The 27,548-nt window shown below is 39.0% G+C and overlaps 1 protein-coding gene and 1 long non-coding RNA gene across 6 annotated transcripts in view; one reads left to right on the top strand and one right to left on the bottom strand.

Annotated features, from left to right (window-relative positions):
• Nucleotides 1-8,305, top strand: part of FAR2-AS1 (FAR2 antisense RNA 1) — a 37,434-nt gene extending 29,129 nt beyond the window's left edge. The window contains exons 6-7 of the long non-coding RNA NR_103860.1: nt 6,360-6,556; nt 7,178-8,305. This is a non-coding gene — a long non-coding RNA (FAR2 antisense RNA 1). The remainder of the gene's footprint in view (nt 1-6,359; nt 6,557-7,177) is intronic.
• FAR2 (fatty acyl-CoA reductase 2) overlaps nt 1-27,548 on the bottom strand; it is a 186,339-nt gene that overhangs the window by 46,897 nt on the left and 111,894 nt on the right. For 4 of the 5 annotated variants that reach the window (NM_001271783.2, XM_011520748.4, XM_011520747.3 and 1 more), the window contains exon 2: nt 18,082-18,308. The exons of the other annotated variant lie outside the window; for it this stretch is intronic. In NM_001271783.2, coding sequence (NP_001258712.1) covers nt 18,082-18,270 — 189 coding nt within the window. In that variant the 5' untranslated portion in view covers nt 18,271-18,308. The remainder of the gene's footprint in view (nt 1-18,081; nt 18,309-27,548) is intronic. 5 annotated transcript variants of the gene reach the window in all.

The raw sequence follows: 27,548 nt of genomic DNA, 5'->3' as shown, positions 1-27,548 counted from the left end.
AAACGAGGACACAAGTGTTTCCTGAGTCCTCTATATTAACTGCCAGTGGGAGCTTGAAGTAATGTAATTTCTCCAGTCTTTATAGCAGACCTTCTATTTTTATAATAATGACAAGACTGAAGGGACAAGATGAAATGGTGCAAATGGAACCTGGATAAGCACCAGCTCTTCTAAAAAAAATTTTCTTTTTGGTGTGTTTGTTGCTAATGTGAGAGATTAAAGTAAGAAAAATAGATGAAATCAAAATGAGTAAAGAAAAAACAGAATTTCAGAAATTTCATTGAAAGCCCACCAATAAAGAACAATATAATTATTTTAAATTCTAAGAGCTTATCCTGTTTCTTCTCATTGCATAAACTCATATTCTCTACTTGATGGCACAAGACTGAGAGGTAAATAGTTGGAAAGCTGCTCACCATCATCAAAACTCAAGCAGAGGGATTGCTGTTGATCCATTTTAGGAAACCTTGTTCTTTACAAGAGTAGGACACATTTCTGTGGTCACTGAAAGATACAGCTGAAAGGTGATCTAAGCATTTCAGATTGGAAACTTTGGGAGTGTTCCATTGACTTGCCATTACACAGGCAAGTATTTCTCTCCTTAATTTGTTTTTAAACATAAGATACTCTTCTAATTATATGAATAGTTACTTGTAGCCCAGAGGCAACAGAGAAACTGCAAACTCTTAAGTAAGAAAATTCAGCAGAAAGAGAAAACCAGAAAAAAAAATTTGTCTGGTTTAAATAAACTCCTTGGGTATGACTTCTGTAGTCAGACATCAAGACTGCATTTTTATTAGAAGTAGGAATTGGGGTGGGGGCATTACATTTATATAATGCTTTTGAAACAATCCAGAGGCCTTTAACATGGTCTCTTACAATGAACTAGTTAGCCACATGACCTCATTTTGTAAGTATCCACAGGAGATTTGCCCTCTACTTCCTGGGGCTCATTGAAGGTAATCTAATCTTTTCTAATCATGAGAATCTTTGATCTTTAATCATTTTACTACGTCTTTCTCTTCAAAAAGTCTTTCTCTTCAAAAATAACTACATTATGTAGTCCCAATAACCCACCAAAATTTGCTTAATTTTTTTTGGAAAATAAATGAGTAAGGTTGCTTAAACTAAGGGGCAATCTCTGTGGAATATTTGGTGTCCCAAGGTGAAAGAGACACTGTAATTTTTTTTAGAGAATTTTTAGAGTGCTGAGTAAAAACAAATCAATGAATTCTGCAAATTAGCTTTAAGTTGAAAACAAACACAAATAAGTTCGTTAATTTAAGCAAAAACCATTATACCCAATGTACAGATTAACAAAAATTCACAAAATGTTAAAATTGTTGCTAGTTCACTAGTAACTCTCATAAGATGTAAAGGATTAATCTAGACGTTTTTAGTGCTTTAGCGAAGACCGTTTCTATAACTCCATAAGGCAGCATGGTGTAGTAGTATGGCTGTCAACTTTCGGCATATAGCAGGGTTGCCCAGGAAGTTGCTCAAACAAACAAACCTATGTCCTGACCCTGAAGATTCTCATTCAACAGTTATTAGTCCAAGCTTGGGCATCTATCTTTTCTTTGAACATGGTCTCTAGTAATTCTGATATACCCTGAAGTTGAGAACCATTGGTGTATTGGAAAGAGCTCAGGCCCTTAGGAGTCATGAAATATTATATTTGAATTCTGATTCTGCCATTGATTTGCTATGTGACTGGGGGAAGTTACTTACCTCTCTGGGTCATTGTGTTTTTGCATATTTATCTAAAATGCCAACCACCTGACTATCGTATTCTGTGACCTCAGAGAATTAAGCATATATTATGCTGTTCTTAAAGACAATTTTGCATTTAAAATCGTATTCTGTGACCTCAGAGAATTAAGCATATATTTTGCTGTTCTTAAAGACAATTTTGCACTTAAAATCGTATTCTGTGACCTCAGAGATTTAAGCATATATTATGCTATTCTTAAAGACAATTTTGTATTTAACAAAATTTTAGTTCACTTTACATAATATTCTACAATAAATGCTAAAGGCAACACAGTGCTTGATTCATCATCTGGTTATGTTTTCTTTTCCCCACACCAAAGATCAATTTCACAGTCCTTTGAGAATTGTTTCTTGCATCTGGGCAGGAAAAGAGCTAGGGTGGCTAGGAAGATGGAGACCAAACTTAAGATTATTTCTACTCTCCAACAGAACTGGTGGCATCTCTGCATTATCCATGCTAGAGGATGGAAAAAACACTGATATTAACTCAGAAATGGCAAGCAATAGTTTCACTTTCCTCATGATATTGTCATCGAGGAAGAAATTTCCTAGGGGAGGCAATGCAGTACAATAGGGAAAGTATGGACTTAGAGATTAGAGACCTGCATTCCAATTTTGCTGTATCACTTGGCACAAATTACATAACCTTGGAGAGATGACAACTGTATCTCATCTGTGATGTAGGAATAGGCATACTGCAGAGATTTCTGAGGATTCGTGTAATGAAAGTCAGATGTTTGTCATAGTGCCCACCGCTTTGTAGTTCCCTAATAATAGGAAAATTCCCTTTCTACTTCCACAGCAATACTCCATTTCCAAAAACTGCTGATCAGAAAGCTGTGTTGTGTGTGTGTGTATGTGTGTGTGTGTGTGTGTGTGTGTCTGTGTGTGTGTTGGGTCATGCCAACGTTTCTGATTTTATCCTGTGATCCAGATACTTCTAAGAACAAAATGTATGCCAAAATCATGTTGAACCTCATGGCTTGGTAACTTTTTTTAATGAAATTAGTATGGGCAATTTGAAGCTTTTTTTAAGACTGAAGCTCTGTCACCAGGCTGGAGTGCAGTGGTGTGATCTCGGCTCACTCCAACCTCCACCTCCCAGGTTCAAGTGATTCTCCTGCGTCAGCCTCCCAAGTAGCTGGGACTACAGGCACGTGCCACTACACCCAGCTAATTTTTGTATTTTTAGTAGAGACGGGGTTTCATTATGTTGGCCAGAATGGTCTCGATCTCCTCACCTTGTGATCTGTCTGCCTCGACCTCCCAAAGTGCTGGGATTACAGGCATGAGCCACCAAGCCCGGCCAATTTGAAGCTTTTAAGAAAAAGACTTAATGTGATTGGAAGAGATTTTTTTCCTTCCTTCCTTCCCTCCTTCCCTCCCTTCCTTCTTCCCTTCCTCCCTTCCTTCCTTCCTTAAAGTAAATGGCCTGCAGGGGAGAGGTTGAACATCCTTCAGCTGATCTGACTTGAGTAACAGGAAAACTGAAAACTGCTTACACTAGAGGCCTCTTGCTTTTTGTGGGATAGTTTCTTAGTCCTTTGGAGGGGCGGGGCGTAAAACAGTAATGGAACACAACTGGCTTTGGAAGTTTAAATGCAAATATTTCCAATTTTGGAAGTTTTAATGCAAATGTTTCCAATTGCCTTTGCCTTATGTAGAGATTTAACAGAATCATTAATGTCAATCAGAAATTCATTTTTGGAAGTTGAGAACAAGCAGCTTTTATACAGCGAAGCATGAACACACTTTTTTTTCCCTACAAAAGAGTCTGAAAATTAACAAGAAACTTAGCAGTAATGCGGCCGGGCGCGGTGGCTCACGCCTGTAATCCCAGCACTTTGGGAGGCAGAGGCAGGCAGATCATGAGGTCAGGAGATCGAGACCATCCTGGCTAACACAGTGAAACCCCGCCTCTACTAAAAATACAAAAAATTAGCCGGGCGTGGTGGCGGGCGCCTGTAGTCCCAGCTACTCGGGAGGCTAAGGCAGGAGAATGGCGTGAACCCGGGAGGTGGAGCTTGCAGTGAGCCGAGATCGCGCCACTGCACTCCAGCCTGGGCGACAGAGCGAGACTCCATCTCAAAACAAACAAACAAACAAACAAACAAAACAGTAATGCTTCTACTGTGTGCTTCTTTCATTGGTGGGCTTTTCTTTGAAGATGTTTTCTAATTCAAAGTTTTTTGTTTTGTTTTTGTTTTCTTAGTTCGAAGTTAATTTGTTTACCTCTTAAAGATTAATTTATCTAAGCCTTCTGGGAACTGCCAGTGATAGTCTCAAAAGGATTCAATAAACTAGTTCATAAAATGTCCCTGTCTTCTATTGTCTTAAATCTAATCATGTTCTGTGAACTGTGGACCCAGTGTGTAACCCTGCGTGATTTATCACCCAGAGTTCTCTACTGTATTTCAAAGTTGATTTACCTCAGGGGCAACTGAGGGTTTACTGAGTAATTCAGATTTTTCCAGAGAAACTGGTTTGAAGGATCCAGTGCAACCTGCCTAGCTCTGTCTTTGTTTATAAACCCACTTACTGGTGATATCATTCAAGATAGTCCCTCTCTAAAAACCTTGAATTTTGTCTGGTCTTCTCGGATGAGGAATTCTCAACCTGGTACAATCTCATTCTAACTCTTCTCTTATATACTAAGTACTCAAACTATATACTTTACTATAACTTAACAGGAAAAGGTTGACCATTTTTGGTATTATCTCAATGATACATTTTTCAGTGTCTGAGCTCACACTCATTCCTAAGTAGCTACATCACTTTTAATAATTTCTACTACTTAGGGTTTTATTCCCTTGGTATAGATACTGTCCTTTCAATGTTTTCTTAAGGAATTATTGAGAGTAGATTATTAGCAACTTAAGATCCTAAACAGATAGACGTGGGACATGGTTGTTGTAAAAAGAAACATATCGGTAAGACACTAGGAAACTCGAAATGCTTTCAACATTTCTTTGAACTTTACTACTGAATGATTTATTTGCAACTCATTATCTGGTATAGTGGGGAAAAGCCATCCATGTCTTTTTAAGCCAAGACATATTTAAGACAATAATAAAGCTAAAATATCAATTGCACTATCTACATTTGCTTTTGACACAATGAAAAGCTGATTGGTTCATAATTACATGAGCATATTTTCCATAAGTAAGAGATGAAACAGCAGCTCGGAAACCCTTGGTCTGTGGTGAGCATGTTCACATTTCAACACACGAAATTTGGTGTGCGAAATTTACCTAGCAGCTCCTCAGATTTTATGAAAAACTAGATGATAATTTTTTAAAAAGCAATGTTGAATACTTAGAATCATATTTCTAATAAAAATAAGTCAAACTATTTAATTTTGATAAACAGTTTCAAAACTAAAAATGAACTGAACTTATACTTGATGACATAATTTTGTAAATTCATGATTGATTTCTGCCTTATTCTGATTTATTTACTACTTTACAAGATAGGTGTTTCTTTTCTTCCACTGTAAAAGTGTAATGTGTTCATCGTATTTGGAAAATGTGGAAGATAGAAGATTACTGTTCTTATTTTTTCACTATTATAAAGGGTAATTTTTCCTCACCATAGAAGTAGCATAATCATAATTCTAATTTGAAAATTTGAAAATGCAAAAAAATTGTAATCCAAGATCACAACAACATTTAGGGCTAATAGTTGAGATTATACTGAATATAGTTTTGCATCTGTTTTTGCACCAATATATTACAAGGCTTTTTGTGTCATTTACTATTTTATAAAACATGATTCTTAATGCCTGGATACTTGTCTAACACTTGTATATATTGTTTATTTAGTCATTCCTCTATTGTGGAACATTTAAATTGGATCCAAGTTTACTATAAGTAATACTACAATAAAAATATCTATACATTATTTGTGGTGTCTCTGGCTGTTGTCTTGGAGTGACACCTTAATTATCTTTGTGAGAAAGTCCTCAAGAATCCTGCCATTAATTCATATACTTTCCCCCCACTGGTATGTCCCTTTAAGTGCTCTGAAAATACTTAAGAAACTTAGTAATAAGAAAGAAAATTAATCTTCTTTTTCGATTCTTCACTTCTAGTTCTCTGTGGCCAATGGATTTTTTAAAATCCCTTTGTCTAGAGCATCTCCCATTTAATAGTTTCTCTTTGACAGCAGGGAAACTGGAAGTCAGATGTGATATCTATGCATACCATAAAAGGAAAAGAAGGAAGCAGATGTCTGAATTTTGATACATAGAACAGATGTCCTTTTGATCACATTTCCTGGGGGATGTAGTTGTAATCAAAGGCCAACTGGTAACATTTTTGGTTACTATGTTTTAAAAAAAAATTTCCAAGCCTCACATAGCTGACATGGTTTATTACCTTCAGGAACACTGTAGTACTTGCAGTGAGTTAGAATTCATTCATTATTATGTGTGACTGGAGAGATGTATTGCTTAAAAGCTATACCAGGCCCTACTTAGGAATAAGTTACAACTGCATTAAATCACTCTGTTTGTGTCAAACTCGTTAAAGTTAAATGGCAGAATCTAGAGGGGGACTTGATTAACATGAGATAATAAATATTTGCAGAATCTGATGCCTACCAGAAGAAACTCTGACCCAGACAGGATCATTGCATAAGAGGTTGGTTTTAGAAGTAGAGTTGGCTGAAATTAAAGTCTCGAGTGACATGAAGACAGTGTTAAAGATAAATCCAAACTCTTCTTTATTGCTTGACACTTTTCCAATCAGCATTGACTTCATTCCTGGCAAGCTGATGTAACATGGTGAGTTCTACCTCATTTTATACTTTATTTGGTTAGGATATGGGGGAGGGGGTAAAGGTGCAGGTTGGTTATTTAAAATGTGCAGTCACCTCCACCAACTTTCCAATATAGGGCTATTACTTAAGGGAATACACCCATAAAACTTTGATTTTCTAGTAATTCTGCTTTTGTGCATTCCTAATTTAAGACTCAGTGAGGGTGAAAGAGTTTTAGATTTGGCAAACACTGCACTATTTTCTTGAATTTTTTGGATTTGCTAAAACCAATAACAAATTTATTACCCAATTTTTTTTTCCTTTAACTTTTCCGTGTGTTGCCACTGAATCCTCCACATCTGGTTCAGTGCTTGACACTTAGTAGGCACTCAGCCAACACTTATTGAATGAACAAGTTTAATGCATTCCAGTTTTTTTTTTTTTTTAGGTGATGTTGTGCCTAATGTATACACCTTCTTTCTTTCACTTCTTCATTAATCCTTTTGTTCATGTCTTTTACTTATGCCAAGCTGTCACATTGTGTGCATGAACCAAACGATTTATTTTTTCTCCCACAGCCCCAGAGTCCGCAAATGACAGACCTTAAACCTAAAACACCCATTAGTTTCCGTCTTTACTCTTGCAGAATGAGTTATGAAGCCAAAGATCGCAAGAAGAGCACACTTCTTAACAGCCACTTCAGAGGTGACAGCCAGGGAATAAGAAATAAGGAAGAACTTTCCAGAGGATGGAGCCACCACAAATAATAATGGAAAAGAAGGTTCCTCCCAGAGATTAGATTTAGAGGCTATTTAAGGAATTTCCCCACTCCCAGTGTAGGAAGCTTCTCAATACTCGCTAATCAGGATTTCCTTATGGTTATATTCTAGGGACTGCTGCTTGCCTGCCTGTCTTCTCTTTTTTGAATAGAAGGTGTCTTTGTTTGTTTGATTTTATTTTTTCTTCAACTTCGCTGTTCTACAATGACAAGAGATAGAACAGAGACATTTTCTACCTCAACATTGGGAGGCAGAAAATTCACCTTTTTATCCAAGAATACCAAACCAGAAGCTGAAATATCTGGATCTGATAGAGAGGATAGTCTATTCCCCCTTGGACTTTGGACTGGATGCAATAATGGTATGAGACCCTGGGGTAGGAATGAGTGTCTTCTATGTGTGGGAAAGAGAGGAAAGCAGATATTTGGCGACCTAAAAAGAAGGCCATGGCAGAACCTCATTAGTTGTTCAACAATCCTATTTTCCTTTTCTCCTGGACACACAGCTATGCATTTTCCAGCCATCCTTGTGGTTAGATGCCCAGTGACAGTTCTGAGAATGGAATATGGACAGATGTGATAGGCACTTCTGGGCCTGGGCCACAAAAACCTTCCACATGATGTCCAGTGCCTCTTTTACCCCACTGACAGTTTTTTATTGTCATCCAGAGAGACCTTGGATGGTTTAGAAGCCATGTGTAGAAGATGGCAACCTTCCCTTAGCATGGATCCTTGAATGACTGTGGAGTGCAATGCCTTCTACCAATTACACCTACTGTGTTTGAGAATCAAATTTCATTTGTATTAAGCTACTGATTTGGGGGGTTTATCTCCTTCAGCACCCACATTAGTACAACTCATGCAGAATGGAGAGTTAATGTGAACACATATGGCACAGACTGGTGAAACCTAGGACTTTAAGATGATAGATGAATTTCTGATTATACTTTCCTTTCCCGCAAAAAGTTTTTTTCAAATTAAATGTTGTAATATAAATGTGAATTCTTAAATATCTTTCTAATGAAATGATGACTAACTATAGAAAAGAGAATGCAGGAATATATACATCCTTGATAAGAGTGTGAAACTGTTACAGGCAATCTAGAGGGTCTTGCCTAGGGATAACGAACAAAATAACATACCTGGGTAAAAGAAATGAGAGGTTACTGATAAAAAACTAACATTTAGCCGGGAGTAGTGGCTCATGCCTGTAATCCCAATACTTTGGGAGGCCGAGGCAGGCAGATCGCCTGAGGTCAGGAGTTTGAGACAAGCCTGGCCAACATGGTGAAACCCCATCTCTATCAGAAATACAAAAATTAGCTAGGCATGGTGGCGGGTGCCTGTAATCCCAGCTACTTGGGAGGCTGAGGCAGGAGAATCACTTGAACCCGGGTGGTGGAGGTTGCAGTGAGCAGAGATTGTGCCACTCCACTCCAGCCTGGGTGACAGAGCTAGACTTCATCTCAAAAAAAAAAAAAATTATATTGCACAATATAAAACATTATTTTATACTTAGGATCACATTTGATCTTTGCAAATCCATATGAAATAGCTATTATTATCAGATACAGTTTATGAATAATAAAAACAAGACTCATATGGGTTAGGTAACTAGGCCATGGTCTCTCTACCAAGCTCTATCTCTCTGATTGAGGAGAGAGTATCTAGAGCATCAGTGTTCTTTTTACTGCCTTATGCTACCTCCCAGTACAGGTATAACAACTAAACCTACAAGTAACCTGCAATTGAGGGTTTAGACTTTTAGCATCTTTAACCATCCAAAACATAGCTGTGGGACCAAAAAGCAAAAAACAGTTTACAAAAGCCCATATTTATTGCACCAAGAAAAAGCCATGTCTGTGAAATATTGCTTAGAATTTGTGTACTAAACTCAGCATAATGAATTAACAAACTCAGTGACCTCATTTTCTCCTAGATTACAATAAATGGAAGACTTAAAATGATGAGAAAAATAAACACAGAAAACCTCAATTAACAGGGTAGAGGATGACCTATTGAAAGATTGGGCATTCATGTGTGGGAGGTAAAGGCAAGTCCTGTGAGTGGTAGGCAGTCCGAGGCAAGTGTTCTCTCTTTTTGTTGTTTGATTCTAAATTTATGACAACTGAAGAAAGGGCCTTGGCCTGGTCTGGATCAACTTGGTATGGAGCCCATGAGAAATGAAAGATGATTCATAAACATACCTAATTCATCCCAGGCAACAGCAGAAATGACCATGAAAAATGAGCCATCTGAGAATTCTCAACGATTCTTGGAGAATGTCATTAATTACATTTTTATTACAGGGCAGGGATGCCCAAGCTGACATATGGGTTACAAAGGCAAAGTAGAATTTCCCTCTATGGGTTTTGTTAATGTAAAATATAAATTAATAAGCTTTTTGCTTTTACTAATATGAAACATACCCATCAATTAGTTGTCTTCAATTCAGAAAGAACTAAACTAGAGTTCGATAGTATCTTAAATCCAAAAAATAAAAATAAAAACCCAACCAGCAGCCATTTGCTGAATTCCTGAGTGCTTAGGAGTCTCCATTTCTAGTCTAGCAAATGTCTTCCAGTTGCAATTTTAAACATTTTTCCCAGATCTTTCAAGAAACCTGTAATAGTATCAAGTCCAGCACACAAAGCTAGCTTTCTGTAAGCAATCAGTCTCATCTACCCACCTTTACTTTATACAGCCTCCTAAATTCAACCTTAGAATAAAAAGTACTTTTTTGTTGTTAAAAGTCTGTTCTCTAGCCAGGTGTGGTGGCTCATGCCTGTAGTCCCAGCACTTTGGGAGGCTGAGACCAGAAGATTGCTTGAAACCAGGAGTTTGAGATCAGCCTGTACAATGTAGTGAGACCACCATGTCTTAAAAAAAAAAAAATTAAAAACAATAGCTGGGCATGGTGTCACATATTTGTGGTCCCAGCTACTTGGGAGGCTGAGGTGGGTGGATCACGTGAGCCCGGGAGGTTGAGGCTGCAGTGAACAATGATCATGCAGTGCCCTCCAGCCTTAGTGATAAGAGTGAGACCATGTCTCAGAAATTTAAAAAAAGTCTATCCTCTGCCTCTAAGGGACTTTGTTGTTATAAAACTACTGAAAATTTGTATAAATATATCTTATTAAATATAAACATATTTTATTAAAACTATTGAAAATATATATAAACCAGGTGTGGTGGCTCACACTTGTAATCCTAGCACTTTGGGAGACTGAGGCAGGAGGACTGTTTGAGGCCACAAGTTCAAGACCAGCCTAAGCAACATAGTGAGATCCCATCTGTACAAAAATTTGAAAATTAGCCAGCTTTGGCAGTGTGTGCCTGTATTCCCAGCAACTCAGGAGGTTGAGGCAAGAGAATCCTTTGAACCCAGGAGTTTAAGGTTACAGTGAGCTGATTGTGAACTGTACTCCAACCTGGGCAACAGAGTGAGACCCTATCTCAAAAAAAAAAAAAAAAAAAAGAAAGAAAATATGTACAAATGAATGTTTTAAATTGAAACAATTACTATAGCACCAAAATGCTCATTCGATGAGATGGAAATTTCTTCTTAAATGTCTATTTCTCATTTTGCAGCAAAGGCATGATTATACTTCTATAAATTTTTGCCTTACATAGTCAGATAGAAGCATGCAAAGTAGGCAGAGCCTAGGCATCTACCTGAAAGAAATGCCCTCCTGCATTTTCTTGAACATATTAACTCTTCCTGAGCTCCAGTGGCACTATCTCTGGAGTCCTTTTCCGGCAGATAATTTTAAAGCAGGCGTCACTTGTTATTTTCTCTCTCAAATTGCCGTGTTCTTTGTCTTCACAGTACTTTTGAAAATACTTAAATATACATGTGTTTCTTATGAAACTCGTTTGCCTCACTGGACTTTAAGATCTGTGAGGCCAATTCCATGCCTGTTTTATTTTCTACTTTATTGCCCCTGTTCCCCAGGCACAAAGCAATAAGTGCCTGACATACATTTGGCTCTCAATAAATACTTGTCATATTTGTGTGCTTGTTCAACTTTTCTCACTCTTTTTGTGTGTAGGTGTGTACTTTCTTGTTATTTCTGGACACTTACGGATTTCCTTATTTTGCCTCAAGGTCAGCTATGCATTAAAACTATTTTATGGCCAGGCGTGATGGCTCATGCCTGTAATCCCAGCACTTTGGGAGGCTGAGGTGGGTGGATCACGAGGTCAGGAGTTCAAGACCAGCCTGGCCACGATGGTGAAACCCCGTCTCTACTAAAACTACAAAAATTAGCCAGGCGCGGTGGCAGATGCCTGTAATCCCAGCTACTCGGGAGGCTGAGGCAGGAGAATCGCTTGAACCCAGGTGGCAGAGGTTGCAGTGAGCTGAGATAGAGCCACTGCACTCTAGCAGCTGGGTGACAGAGTGAGACTCCGTCTCAAAATAAATAAATATTTTATAAAAAACGTATTTTATCTATTTTTTTTTTTGAGACAGAGTTTCACTCTGTTGCCCAGGCTGGAGTGCAGTGGCACATACACACACATATATATATATAATCTAGAGATTTTACATATATATATATATAAAATCTAGAGGTTTCTTTCACCTTTCAAACATAGCTCATCCCCATAACTTAAAAAATATAAAAAAATACAATTTTATCTGTCTTGTCTTTATTTTGAATTTTCAATTTCAAAGGGAATACAAGCAATAATATCTTGAATCTCATAGATGGCCAGTAACTACTTCTTGCATAATTCCTTATTTGCACAGAGCTTTATCCACAGCCAATCAGCGATAGCATTCTTATATTCTGAAGCATACACAATTTTGTAGCAAAAACTTTTCAGTTTTGGGATACGCAGCAATAAAATCAAGCACATATTTTTTTCCATGGAAAATCTCTTTACAGGTATCAGATTCCATATAGTGACAAGAAAGTAGATATTTGCATAGCTAATGGCTTGTGCATTAATAATCAGGTGATAGAATCTGTTCTTGTTACCCACAAAATGGCCATGTAGACATGGTTTGTGATCTACCGTAGATGTGTTTTTCAACTATATTATACACATCAGATTCCCTTCCTCCCACAACTCTTTGAGGGAAAAATTTATGGGAAAAAAAACACTTCTTTTTTTGGCATAACTTAGTATACAGCCTAACTTAGTAAAAAGTGAGGCCCTAGGAAATAGTGGTAAAAGCCATACCTTAAATCCAGAAAGGCTTGAGGGCAAGAGAGAAAGACGCAGAGACTCCCTGGGTAAGCAAGGTATTATTACAGCATTTTACAGATAAAGAAACCAAGGCTCAGCAAAGTATATATCTAGTCCACTATCACACAACTCACAATTGGTCGTATGGAGATTCACACCCAGGTCTGTCTGCCTCTGAAGCCCAGGCTGTTAAGTACCATCTGATCACAACAGATAGTTCTCAGGTGATCTTGAATGCTGCTGATATTGGGACCACACTTTGAGAACCACTGTTCATAAAAGTCAACAGCTGACAGTAAATAGCCCAATAGTGAAAACAGGTGCTGAGATTTGCAAGGCAGTTTCACAGATAAGTTACATAGAGTATAATCACGATTTCCAGAACAAAAGCAATGTTGCCGTGTTATAAAAAACACTGCATTGAAAGAAGCAGTAGGTAAAGATTGGGTTGACCACAAGACTCTCTGCCACAATATTTATCTAGAAATGCATAGTTGGCAACAAAGCTCCCAGACTAACACGAAACGTCTACTATGTGAGGAAAACAAAGTCCAGAGGTGCGACCAAGATGGCCTACTAGAAGCAGGGGTGATTGGAGGCTCCCATCGAAAAACAAACATAACACTTTTACACTGTTGGTGGGACTGTAAACTAGTTCAACCATTGTGGAAGTCAGTGTGGCGATTCCTCAGGGATCTAGAACTAGAAATACCATTTGACCCAGCCATCCCATTACTGGGTATATACCTGTCAGGCCTCTGACCCCAAGCTAGGCCATCATATCCCCAGTGACCTGCACGTACACATCCAGATGGCCGGTTCCTGCCTTAACTGATGACATTCCACCACAAAAGAAGTGAAAATGGCCTGTTCCTGCCTTAACTGATGACATCGTCTTGTGAAATTCCTTCTCCTGGCTCATCCTGGCTCAAAAGCTCCCCCATTGAGTACCTTGTGACCCCCACTCCTGCCTGCCAGAGAACAACCCACCTTTTTCCTTTACCTACCCAAATCCTATAAAACGGCCCCACCCCTGTCTCCCTTCGCTGACTCTCTTTTCGGACTCAGCCCGCCTGCACCCAGATGATTAAAAGCTTTATTGCTCACACAAAGCCTGTTTGGTGGTCTCTTCACATGGACGCGCATGAAATTTGGTGCCAACCTGAGGTCATAGGTGGATCTTTCTCATGGAGCAAAGAGCAGGAGGACGGGATTGATCTCCCAGGGAGGTCCCCCGATCCGAGTCACGGCACCAAATTTCATGCGCGTCCATTTGAGGAGACCACCAAACAGGCTTTGTGTGAGCAACAAGGCTGTTTATTTCACCTGGGTGCAGGCGGGCTGAGTCCGAAAAGAGAGTCAGCGAAGGGAGATAGGGGTGGGGGCCGTTTTATAGGATTTGGGTAGGTAAAGGAAAAAGGGGGATTGTTCTCTGGCGGGCAGGAGTGGGGGTCACAAGGTACTCAGTGGCGGAGATTTTGAGCCAGAATGAGCCAGGAGAAGGAATTTCACAAGACAATGTCATCAGTTAAGGCAGGAACAGGCCATTTTCACATCTTTTGTGGTGGAATGTCATCAGTTAAGGCAGGAACCGGCCAGCTGGATGTGTACGTGCAGGTCACAGGGGATATGATGGCTTAGCTTGGGCTCAGAGGCCTGACAATACCCAAAGGATTATAAGTCATGCTGCTATAAAGACACATGCACATGTATGTTTATTGCGGCACTATTCACAATAGCAAAGACTTGGAACCAACCCAAATGTCCAATAATGATAGACTGGATTAAGAAAATGTGGCACATATACATCATGGAATACTAGGCAGCCATAAAAAATGATGAGTTCATGTCCTTTGTAGGGACACGGATGAAGCTGGAAACCATCATTCTCAGCAAACTATCACAAGGACAAAAAACCAAACACCACATGTTCTCACTCAGAGGTGGGAACTGAACAATGAGAACACATGGACACAGGAAGGGGAACATCACATACCGGGGCCTGTTGTGGGGTGGGGGGAGGGGGGAGGGATAGCATTAGGAGATATACCTAATGTTAAATGACGAGTTAATGGGTGCAGCACACCAACATGGCACACGTATACATATGTAACAAACCTGCACACACGTACCCTAAAACTTAAAGTATAATTAAAAAAAAGAAAAAGAAAAACAAACACAATAACCGTGTGAATCCTTCGCCAGCAACAGAGTTATCCAGGTTCTCTCATCAAAATTGACTAGAAGGCTGGTGTGACCCACCAAGAGAAGGAAGAGCAGTGTGGTGCGGTGGCCCACCTGAGAGCCACACGGCGAAGGGGAGTCCCCTCTCCCCAGCCAAGGGAGGTGGTGAGTGAGCATGCTACCCGGCCCGGGGAACTGCTTTTTCCATGGAACAGTGCAACCTATGGGTCAGAAGAGCCCACTCCGGAACCCAGGCCACCAGGGCCTACCATCCCAACCTGAGAAAGTGCAGATTCTTACAGCCTCTCAGCTAAAATCTGCTTAAGCCTACTGAACTCCTGGGGGCAGAGGGGCGACGAGCCCTGGCTGCCATCACCTGCTGTCTAAGCCATTTGAGCTCCTTGGGGGAGGGGCAGCAGCCAGCACTGGGACTGGCAACTGCCTAACAGGCTAAGCTCCCTGGGCAGGGGAAGGGTGGCACCCATTTCTATAGCTCCAGGCTGTGCTTTTCCCCTGCTAGTGCCAGGAAGGCTGGATGGCTTGGTCCCAAGACTTGTCCCCACAGCCCTACACACCGTGGCAGCCACACACACACTGTGGCAGTCTGCGGCCAGAGTGCCTCTTCAGGCCTAACCCCCACCCATCCTTCCTCGTTGGTGGGGGAGGGGCTTCCCTGCAGGATCTCCAATAACTCTAGCCAGAGGCTTAGGAACAGAATTCTGATCTCCCTGGTCCTGAGCCCCTAAGGGGAGAGGTGGCTGCAGTCTCTGTGGACCAGCAGACTTAGCCTCTCCTCCTGGTAGTTCTGAGGAATCAGGGCAACCCAGACAAGTGGGTTTCCCCCCAGTGAAACACACCCTCTCCACCAAGGGACAAAGTGGTTCGTTAAACGGTCCTACTCCCAATGCCACAACAGGGTGAGACCTTCCTACAGGGGTTGTCAGACACTCTATACAGGAGCAATCCTACTGGCATCAGGCTGGTGCCCCTCGAGGTCAGAGGTCCCAGGAGAAGGAGCAGGGACCCATCTTTGCTGCTCTCCAGCCTCTTTGAGTGACATCTCCAGGCACAGCAGAAAATCAGATGAATAAGGCCTGAAGCGAATGCCCAGCAAACTGCAGCAGCCCTGCAGAAGAGGAACCTGACCATTGAAAGAAAAACAAGCAGAAAGCGACAACAACATCAAGAACAACAACAACAAAAAGGCCCACACAAAAACCCTATCCAAGGGTCAGCAGCCTCAAAGACTGAAACTAGACAAACTCACAAAGATAAGAAAGAATCAATGGAAAAAATGCCAAAAACCCAAAAGGCCAGAGTGCCTCTTCTCCTCCAAATGATCACAACATCTCTCCATCAAGGATGCAGAACTGGACGGAGGATCAGATGGACAAATTGACAGAAGTAGGCTTCAGAAGATGAGTAATATAAAACTATGATGAGCTAAAGGAGCATGTTCTAACCTAAAGCAAAGAAGCTAAGAATCTTGATAAAAAGTTAGAGGAATTGCTAACTAGAATAACCAGTTTAGAGAGGAACGTGAAGGACCAGATGGTGCTGAAAAACACAGCACAACAATGTCGTAAGGCATACACAGTTATCAGCAGCTGAATCAACTGAGTGGAAGAAAGGATATCAGAGTTTAAAGACCACCTTACTGAAATAAGATGCCGACAAGAATAGAGAAAAAGGAATGAAAAGGAATGAACAAAGCCTCCAAGAAATATGGGACTTCATAAAAAGACCAAACCTACAATTGATTGCAGTACCAGAAGGAGACGGGGAGAATGGAAACAAGCTGGAAAACACATTTTAGGATATTATCCAGGAAAACCTCCCCAACCTAGCAAGACAGGCCAACACGCAAATTCAGGAAAAACAGAGAACACCATTAAGATACTCCATGAGAAGATCAACCCCAAGAAAACAAAGTGCATTAGGGGTAGATAACTGAGAAAAACTGCCTGAAGAGGGATCTGGGAATTTATTCTAGGTTTTGGTTCTATGTCATATCAGCCTTTTAAGAACCATTAGTTATCCCGAAGGCAGTGTGGGGCAGGAGCAAGTGTGCTGGCCTTAGAGTCAGGCTGTAGGGTTGGAAATCCAATTTTTCCTCTACTAGGTAGAAGACCTTTGGTAAGTTAAAGCTTCAGGCCTCAGTTTCCCCATCTATAAAATGAGAATAGTAATGGTTCTTACTTCACAGGGTTATTGCAAAGATACATGAAGTAAGGTGTGAAAAGACCTTTGGATAGTAGGTGCCATGTACTAAGTATCCAGTAAATGTTAGCTGTTAGGATTATTTTGTCCCACTGCTGAGTCAAGCCATGAGATGTGAGGCTTTTCCAATTTGCTTGATGATGGTTTGTAACAAAATCGTATTCTGTTGCAAGCAGATAAATTTGATCATCAGTGTTTCTGGGCAGTCTACAATGTGCTGTGCTAACAGATACATGTGCATCATAGATGTTAACATTCCTACACACTGGAAAGGAGATTGTAAAAAAAGGAACTCTGAATTTTCTTATTGCCAATCTTATGTCACCCCCTATATTCCAAAGTGCATTATGAACAACATATGTACATTTTCTCATTTAGTTCCTATGAAATTAGTTGTTGTTTTTATTTAAAACATTGGAAAGTTTGAAAATCTAAAATCTGAAGGTTAAGAGGTGATATGACAACAAATTCATAAGCCAGAATTTGAACCCAGATATGTTTGAGACCCAAGGTTATACTGCCTTGAAATTTATAAATTAAAACATGAGAGAATATGCATAATGTCTTTTTTTTCCGAGAGGAGAGAGGGTTTGATATCCAAATGCTCATTCACAGATGTAATATTTTATTTCCAATGTTTTTACCTTAGAAGAACTTATTGGATAATAGAAATATCAAAAGTTCCCATAAATAAAATATATAACAGCTAAACCTTGTAGAGTTTAGACAACTGAAAGTATCACTGCATGGCTACTTAGTAGTCACATCTGCTCCCTAAGCAATAGAATAGAACAGAATAGAAGAATATCCAAAAAATTTGGGGAGGAAATCAACCTTAAATTTAAAAGAAAATTAGTGAAGAATTCAGATGAACTTGCAGCAGATATTAAGGCTGAAGCATCCACTCAGGGAGTTTGAGTATTTTGATAATTAGTAGTTTCCAGACATAGACAATCTCACCTGCCCTGGACTGAAACTAAGCACTCTTTTCCCTCCTTTGGGAAAACACCGATTTCCACCAGCAGCTTGTTGCTGTCTTGTTTTGTCTGCCTTCCTCTACCTGTGCAGGTAGCCTGGTCCCCACTTGCAATATGAGACTATAAGAGAACATTGTAGTGAATCATCTTGCCCTAAGGCATTGCCCATCACACACGCTTTCCTATAAGGCATACCTTACTGTCTAGGATCTGGAAAACCCTCTGCTGCAGTGTCTGGCCAGCCTTGGGCCTCACAAGGATGTAAATGACTTTCAGGTCTGGGCTGGTGCGAAACAGCTTCTCCATCAGCACTTTGCCCAGAAAGCCTGTGGCCCCCGTGATGAGAATGGACTTGCCGCCATAGAAAGCTGCAATTGTGGACATGATTCCTCCCTTTCTTTTATAGCTCCTGAAAGAGGTTCCTGAAAAGGAAGAGAAATAACAAAAGATTACATCTTCAGAAGTTCTCATATTCAAAGTCACTTAAAATGTTTCTGTTGCTTCCAAGAGCTTTGAATGCAGAAAAAAATAGGTCAGACAGTGAGAGCATCGTGGCTTTTAAGCAATACGACTCATTCCAATCAATATTTATTGAGTTCTCTCTACATGCTAGACTTTATGCCAGGAACTGTGAGCAAGAAATGAGAAAGACATGATTCCTGCTTTCAAGGAATTGCTTGCAGTCTAATGGAGGAGGCAGACAATAAAGAGACTGTTAAATACAATATAGTAAGTGCTAAAACAAAGGGAGACCTGAGAGGGGTACATAGAAGCATCTGGAAATTTCAAAGTGTCTGTGACATCTGAGCTGAAGCTTGGAAGGCAGAGAAGGGCTGGGGTCATGGTGTCCCAGGCCAAGGAAAGAGCAAGGGCAAAGGTGCAGTGGTGTGGCACAGCGTGCTTAGGGGAAATAAAGGGATGCAGTGTTACAGGACATAAATGAGAAGGTTAGGACTGGCCCAGCAGTTTGTGAAACCAAAGCTTAGAACAGCTATCAGGTTTTTTAAAATTATGATGTAATTAGAGTTTGAGTTTCAGATTTATTTAGAGAAAATACTGGAATAAATAATTGTTGCGGGAAGTCAAGGACCTTAAACAGAGGGACCGGCTGAAGCCATGGCAGAAGAACGTGGATTGTGAAGATTTCATAGACATTTATTAGTTTCTCAAATTAATACTTTTATAATTTATTATGCCTGTCTTTACTGCAATCTCTAAACATAAATTGTAAAGATTTCATGGACACTTATCACTTCCCCAGTCAATACCCTGGTGATTTCCTATGCCTGTCTTTACTTTAATCTCTTAATCCTGTCAGCTGAGGAGGATGTATGTCGCCTCAGGACCCTGTAATAATTGCATTAACTGCACAAATTGTACAGCATGTGTGTTTGAGCAATATGAAATCTAGGCACCTTGAAAAAAGAACAGGATAACAGAAATTGTTCAGGGAATAAGAGAAATAACCTTAAACTCTGACTGCCAGTGAGCTGGGAGGAACAGAGCCATATTTCTCTTCTTTCAAAAGCAAATGGGAGAAATATTGCTGAATTCTTTTTCTCAGCAAAGAACATCCCTGAGAAGGAGAATACGCGCCTGGAGGTATAGGCCTATGAACGGCCCCCCCAAGGTGCACCTGTCTTTTATGGTCAAGACTCTAGGGGTGAAATAGACCCCAGTCTCCTATAGCACTCCCAGGCTTATTAGGAAGAGGAAATTCCCGCCTAATAATTTTGGTCAGACCGGTTGCTGTCAAAATCCTGTCTCCTGATAAGATGTTATCAATGACAATGGTGCCCGAAACTTCATTAGAAATTTTAATTTCACCTTGGTCCTGTGGTCCTGAGATCTTGCCCTGCCTCCACTTGCCTTGTGATATTCTATTACCTTGTAAAGGACTTGATGTCTGTGACCCACACCTATTTGCACACTCCCTCCCCTTTTGAAAATCCCTAATAAAAACTTGCTGGTTTTTGCGGCTTGTGGGGCATCATGGAACCTACCGACATGTGATGTCTCCCCCGGATGCCCAGCTTTAAAATTTCTCTCTTTTGTACTCTGTCCCTTTATTTCTCAAGCTGGCTGATGCTTAAGGAAAATAGAAAAGAACCTACGGGGCAGGTTCCCCAATAAATAATATAGTTTTGTTAATCTCTTCCTTGAGTTGAAAATGTGTCTAGGTCAAGTGCCACCTTTTTCCCCCTTATATGCTGCTCAGGGGGTAGAGACACTGAAAAGCAAAGGTAGAGGAGGCTGAAAAGGGAGGCCACCGACCACAGGTTTTGGTGTGCCCTGAAATAGCTTGGGCTGCAATGCAAGGCTTGGTTTGTCCACATAAGTCCTGTGTTTCCAGAAGTGCTGAGAAAAAATGAATCTGGTAGCAGGAAGCCAGATGCAACTCTTGCTGCAGAAACGCACCATGAAGTGTTTTGTCTTTCAGTTCTGGTTGGAGATAATTGATTGGAGACAGCAGCAGAGAGCTTTGAACTAAACAGTGCTGGAGGTGTGGGGAAGATCTTCCTTTCTGTCCACTCACTTTGTCAACTGTAGAAAGGCCTCAACTGCCTATGTGGACAGGGTTTGGATGGATCCTGCAGAACAGCTCCAGGGACTGGCCCTGACATCAGGGCTTATAAAGAAGAAAAAAACAACTAGAAGTGTCAACACCCTGCTCTCCAACTCTGGTCCAGAATGCTCTGCTAGTAACTCCTTAAGCAACAATGACTCTTCGTAGTCATAATTTATATTTGAAGATCTTGAGTCCATGTTCTTAGACAGAATTCTTTGCCTTTGGGGAATTATTTACTAAAAAAATTTTTCAGCACCTACCATTCCAGACTCTATGCTAAGTTCTGAAGACACGCAGATGAACAAAGCAGACTGTTCCTTGCTGTCACTCTAGCAGGGGAGGCCAGCAATGCAAAGTCAAATAAACATATAAACAAGATCATAGACTGCTGCACATGCTATGAAGTAAGTAAAACAGGGGTCAATGACAGAAATCACACCCAATCATCAATGCTATTCATTTTAGGAAATCTGGATTTCAAATCACATTAGCTGTGTTCACTGAGTTACTGTTTGAGCTCCCTTTGTTGAGGGTGGATAAGAGAAATACTATGAAGAACACTTTTGGATCTTGTTTTTGTCATGTTACATAATGTTACATGAGTATATTACAATTCACCCAGTGACTTCCTCAAGAATTTAGCACTTGGAAACAGTATTAAACATTCTTGCCTTGCCTGCTTTGGAGCTCAGAAAAGTAGTGTCCCCAAGTTAGGAGGGCAGAATAGCACCCAAGATTAGCATTCAAGTTCTAAGCAAGACTGTTTGAAGTAAAATCCCAGTTCTACCACTTATTAGCTGTGTGACCTCAGGAAATTACTAATCTCTCTGTGCCTCAGTTACTTATCAGGAAAATGTAGAAAACAAAAGTATCCACTTAATAGTGCTGTGGTAAGGATGGAATGAGTGAATACATGCAAAACTCTTAGCAATATACATTGCCTATAGCATAGACTCAAATATTGGCTATTAGCATAGTCACTGGTTTTACATTTTTTCTTCTTAATGGTTTCTAGCTTTTCTTTTTGGCATTTATTTTAAATGTCCTGTCTCGTACATTTTGTATACCCATTTTCTTTTGTAAATAAAAGGAGACAATTTAACACTCAATAAATCATAACAGCCAAGTATTTTCACCAAATATAACTATACTTCATGATAAATTTTGCCTATTTCTTTAAAAATGTTGAGGTACCCTACTTCTTTAATAGGATATTAGGCATAAATAAATGTGGTTGGCACAAAAACAGAAGGAAAGTTGAGTTTGGAGAGGGTGACTTCCCAACCCCATTTGTTCTGAAGATGTCACATGCTTCTCTTATCATACACTCTAGTGGAGTCATATTTTCTAGAAATGCAAATATACTGTTAGGATATTTTGACCCCAGACACAGTTTTGCAAGGTATGATCTAAAATTTTAGAGATTTCTTTCTAAAGTAAGATATATCAATGAGCCTGTAGTGTTTACATTTTTGCTGGTACATAGTAGGTATATATATTTATAAGGCACATGAGATATTTTGATACAGGCATGCAATGTGTAATAATCACATTAGAGTAAGTGGAGTACCCATCACCTCAAGCATTTATCCATTCTTTGTGTTACAAACAACCCAATTATATTCTTTCAGTTATTTTTAAAATTGCAATAAATTATTGTTGACTTAGTCACCCTGTTTTGATATCAAATACTAGATCCTATTCATTCTGCTTAATTGTATTTTTGTTCCCATTACCCACTCCCTTCAACACTATCCCTCTCAGCCACTGCTAACCATCCTTTTATTCTCTTTGTCCATGAGTTCAATTGTTTTAATTTTTAGTTCCTACAAATAAGTGAGAACATGTCAAGTTTGTCTTTCTGTACCTGGTTTACTTCACTTAATATAATGTCCTCCATCTATATTGTTGCAAATAACAGGATCTCATTCTTTTTATGGCTGAATAGTACTCCATTGTGTATATTTACCACATTTTCTTTATCCATTCATCTATTGATGGACACTTGGATTGTTTTCAAATCTTGGCTATTGTGATTAACACTGCAATAAATATGGGAGTGCAGATATCTCTTTGATACACTGATTTCCTTTCATCGGGGTATATACCTAGCTGTGGGATTGCTGGATATGTTACATTTTTTGTTTTTTGAGGAACCTCCAAACTGTTATCTGTAGTGATTGTACTAATGTACATGCCTACCAACAGTATATGAGGGTTCATTTTTATCCACATCCTCATCAGCATTTGTTATTGCCTGTCTTTGGATAAAAGCCATTTTAACTGGAGTGAGATAATATCTCACTGTAGTTTTGATTTGCATTTCTCTAATGATCAGTGATGTTGAGCACCTTTTCATAAACCTGTTGTCCATTTGTATGTCTTCTTTTGGGAAATGTCTATTCTGATCTTTTACCCATTTTTAAGTAGGATTATTAGATTTTGTTCTATAGACTTGTTTGTGTTCCTTATATATTCTGGTTCTTAATCCCTTGTCAGATGGATAGTTTACAAATATTTTCTCTCATTCTGTGGGTGGCCTCTTTACTTTGTTGTTTGTTTCCTTTGCTGTACAGAAGCATTTAAACTTGTAATCCCATTTGTGCATTTTTGCTTCTGTTTGTGGGTATTACTCAAGAAATCTTTGCCCAGACCCATGTACTGGAGACTTTCCCTGATGTTTTCTTACAGTAGTTTCATAGTTCGAGATCTTATATTTAAGTTTTTAATCCAATTTGTTTTGATTTTTGCAAATGGCAAGAGATAGGGGTCTAGTTTCATTCTTCTGCATATAGATATCCAGTTTTCCTAGCACCATTTATAGAAGAGATTGTCCTTTCCCCAATGTATGTTCTCGGCACCTTTGCCAAAAATGAATTTACTGTAGGTGTGTGGATTTGTTTCTAGATTCTCTGCTCTGTTCTACTGGTCTATGTTTCAGTTTTTATGCCAGTAGCATGTTGTGTTGCTTACAGTAGTTCTGTAGTATAATTTGAAGTCAGGCAATGTGATTCCTCCAGTTTTATTCTTTTTGCCCAGGATAGCTTTGGCAGATCTGGGTCTTTTGTGGTTCCATATAAATTTTAGGGTTACTTTTTCTATTTCTGTGAGAAATGTCATTGGTATTTTGATAAGGATGGCATTGAATCTGTAGATTGCTTTGCATAGTATAGGCATTTTAACAATATTGACTCTTCCAACACATGAACATGGAATATCTTTCCATTTTTGTGTGTGTTCTTGTCAATTTCTTCCATCAATGTTTTATAGGTTTTATTGTAGAGATCTTTTATTTCATTGGTTAATTTGTAGGTATTTAATTTTTTATTTGTAGCTACTGTAAATGGGATTACCTTCTGGACTTCTTTTTCAGAGTGTCCACTGTGGGCATATAGAAATACTACTGATTTTTATATGTTGACTTGGTATCTTGCAACTTTACTGAATTTGTTTATCAGTTCTAACAGTTTCTTGGTGGAGTGTTTAGCTTTTCAAGATATAAGATCATATCATATGCAAACAAGGCTGATTTAACTTCTTCCTTTCCAATTTAGCTGCCTTTTCTCTCTTTCTCCCTCTCCCTCTCCTCCTCTCTCTCTCTCTCCTTTATTTATTTATTTATTTATTTATTTATTTATTTATTTATTTTGAGACAGGATCCCACTATGTTGCCCACACTGCACACTGGTCTCAAACTGCTGAGGTCAAGCAATGCTCCCACCTTGACCTCCCAAAGTGCTAGGATTACAGGCAAGAGCCAATGCACCTGGCCTATTTCTCTTGTCTGATTACTCTAGTTAGGACTTTCAGTACTATGTTGAATAACATTGGTGACAGTGGTCATCCTTGTTGTGTTCCAGATCTTAGAGGAAAGGCTTTTCGTTTTTCCCCATTCAGTATGATACTAGCTGTGGGTCTCATATACAGCCTTTATTGTGTTGAGGTATGTTCCTTCTATACCCAGTTTTTTGAGTGTTTTTATCACAAAGGGATGTTGAATTTTATCAAATGCTTTTTTCAGCATTAACTGAAATGATCATATGGTTTTTGTCCTTCATTCTGTTGGTATGATGTATCATATTGACTGATTTGCACATGTTGAGCCATCCTTGCCTCCCTTGGATAAATTCCATGTGATCATGGTGAATGATCTTTTTAATGTGTTCTTGATTTCAGTTTGCTAGTATTTTGTTGGGGATTTTTGCCTCAGTGTTCATCAGGGATATTGGCATATAGTTTTCCTACTTTCCTTTTATTCCTTTGATGTGTCTTTATCTGGTTTTGGTATCAGGGTAATACTGGTATTATAAAATGAGTTTGGAAGTATTCCTTCCTCCTCTATTTTTTGGAATACTTTGAGTAGGATTAGTATTTGTTCTTCTTTAGATGTCTGGTAAAATTCAGCAGTGAAGCCATCAAATAATGAGCTTTTCTTTGCTGGGAGAGTTTTTAATGTGGCTTTGGCCTCATTACTTGTTATTGGTCTATGCAGGTTTTGAATTTGTTCATGGCTCAATCTACTGGATTGAACCAGTTCTCTCAGCTGGACTGAGAGAAATTTATTCTTAGTACGTTGTACATGTTTAGGAATGTACAACCTACCAAGAATAAATTTCTCTCAGTCCAGCTTTCACTGTATCCCATAGGTTTCGGTATGCTGTGTTTCCATTTTCATTTGTTTCATGTAAATTTTCAATTTCTTCATTGACCCACTGGTCATTCAGGAGCATATTGTTTAATTTCTATGTGTTTGTATAGTTTCCAAAATTGGTCTTGTTGTTGACTTCTACTTTTACTCCATTGTGGCCAGAGAAGATGCTTGATATTATTTCCATTTTTTAAAATGTTTTAAGACCTGTTTTGTGACCTAATATATGGTCTATCCTTGAGAATGATCCATGTTCTGAGGAGAAGAATGTGTATTCTGTAGCTGTTGGATGAAGTGTTCTGTAAATATCTATTAGGACTATTTGATCTACAGTGCAGATTAAGTTCAATGTTTCTTTATTGAGTTTCTGTCTGAGAGGTCTGTCCAATGCTGAAGGTGGGGTGTTGAAGCCTCTGCTATTATTGTATTGAGGGCTATATTTCTCTTTAGCTCTAATAATATTTGCTTTATATATCTGGGGGGCTCCAGTGTTGGGTGCATATATATTTACAATTATTATATCCTATTGCTGGTTCAACATCTTTATCATTATATAATGACATTCTTTGTCTCTTCTCATAGTTTTTGTCTTGAAATCTATTTTGTCTGGTATAAATATAGCTATAAGTGTTATTTTTTGGTTTCCATTAGCATGAAATATCTTTTTCCATCCCTTTATTTTCAGTTTATGTGTATCTTTATAGGTGAAGTGTGTTTATTGTAGGCAACAGATCATGAGGTCTTGTTTTTTCACCCATTCAGTCACTCTATAACTTTTGATTAGAGAGCATAGTCCATTTACATTCAATGTTATTATTGATAAGTAATGACTTCCCTCTGCCATTTTGTTATTTAGTTTCTGGTTGTTTTGTGGTCTTCTCTTCCTTCCTTCCTTCCTGTCTTCCTTTTAGTGAAGGTGGTTTTCTCTGGTTGTATGATTTAATTTCTTGCTTTATTTATTTATTTATTTACTTACTTATTTTTTGAAGATGGAATTTTGCTCTTGTTGCCCAGGCTGGTGTGCAGTGGCACAATCTTGGCTCACCACAACCTCTGCTTCCCGGGTTCAAGTGATTCTCTTGTCTCAGCCTCCTGAGTAGCTGGGATTACAGGCGTGCGCCACCATGCCTGACTAATTTTGTATTTTTAGTAGAAACGGGGTTTATCTATGTTGGTCAGGCTGGTCTCGAACTCCTGATCTCAGGTGATCTGCCTGCCTGGGTCTCTCAAAGTGCTGGGATTACAGGCATGAGCCACCACGCCAAGCCTTAATTTCTTGCTTTTTATTTTTAAGGTATCCATTGTATGTTTTTCAATTTGCAGTTAATGTGAGGCTTGCAAATGCTATCTTATAACCCATTATTTTAAACCCATGACAACTTAACACTGATTGCATAAACAAAAAAAAACACACAAAAAGAAAACTAATAAAAACTCTACACTTTAACTTCATCTTGCCACTTTTTAACTTTTTCTTTTTATGTATTATTGTATTGGCTATGTCTTGAAAAATTGTTGGAGTTATTATTTGTGATTGGTTCATCATTTAGTCTTTCTACTTAAGTGTAGTTTACACACTACAATTACAGTGTTGTAATATTCTGTGTTTGTGTACTTATTACCAGTGAGCTTTCAGTACCTTCAGATGATTTCTTCTTGCTCATTAACATCCTTTTCTCTCAGATTGAAGAACTGCCTTTAGCATTTTTATAGGACAGGTCTGGTGTTGATGAAATCCCTCAGCTTTTGTTTGTCTGGGAAGGTCTTTATTTCTCCTTTGTGCTTGAAGAATATTTTTGCCAGATATTCTATTCTAGGGTAAAAGATTTTTTTCTTCAGCACTTGAAATATGTCATGCCACTCTTTCCTGGCCTGTAAGGTTTTCACTGAAAAGCCTGCTACCAGATGTATTGGAACTCCATTGTATGTTGTTTGTTTCTTTTCTCTTGCTGCTTTTAGGATCCTTTATCTTTGACCTTTGGGAGTTTGATTATTATATGTCTTGAGATAATCTTCTTTGGGCTAAAGCTACTTGGTGTTCTATAACCTCCTTATACTTGGATATTGGTATCTTTCTTTAGGTTTGGGAATTTCTCTGTTATTATCCCTTTGAGTAAACTTTCTACCTGATCTCTCTCTACCTCCTCTTTAAGGCCAATGACTCTTACATTTGCTCTTTTGAGATCTTGTAGGCATGCTTCATTCTTTTTTTCTTCTTTTATCTTTTGTCTTCTCTGTGTATTTCCAAATAAACTGTCTTCAAGCTCTCTAGTTCTTTCTTCTGCTGGATCAACTCTCATGTTAAGAGACTCTGATGCATTCTTCAGTATGTCAACTACATTTTTCAGCTCCAGAATTTCTGCTTGATTCTTTAATTATTTCGATCTCTTTGTTAAATGTATCTGATAGTATTCTAAATTCCTTCTCTGTGTTACCTTGGATTGG

This window comes from Homo sapiens, chromosome 12 (assembly GCF_000001405.40).
Source record: "Homo sapiens chromosome 12, GRCh38.p14 Primary Assembly".
Taxonomy (NCBI): Eukaryota; Metazoa; Chordata; class Mammalia; order Primates; family Hominidae; genus Homo; species Homo sapiens.
Note: the sequence above shows the minus strand (reverse complement) of the source record. Positions and strands in the feature narration are given on the sequence as shown.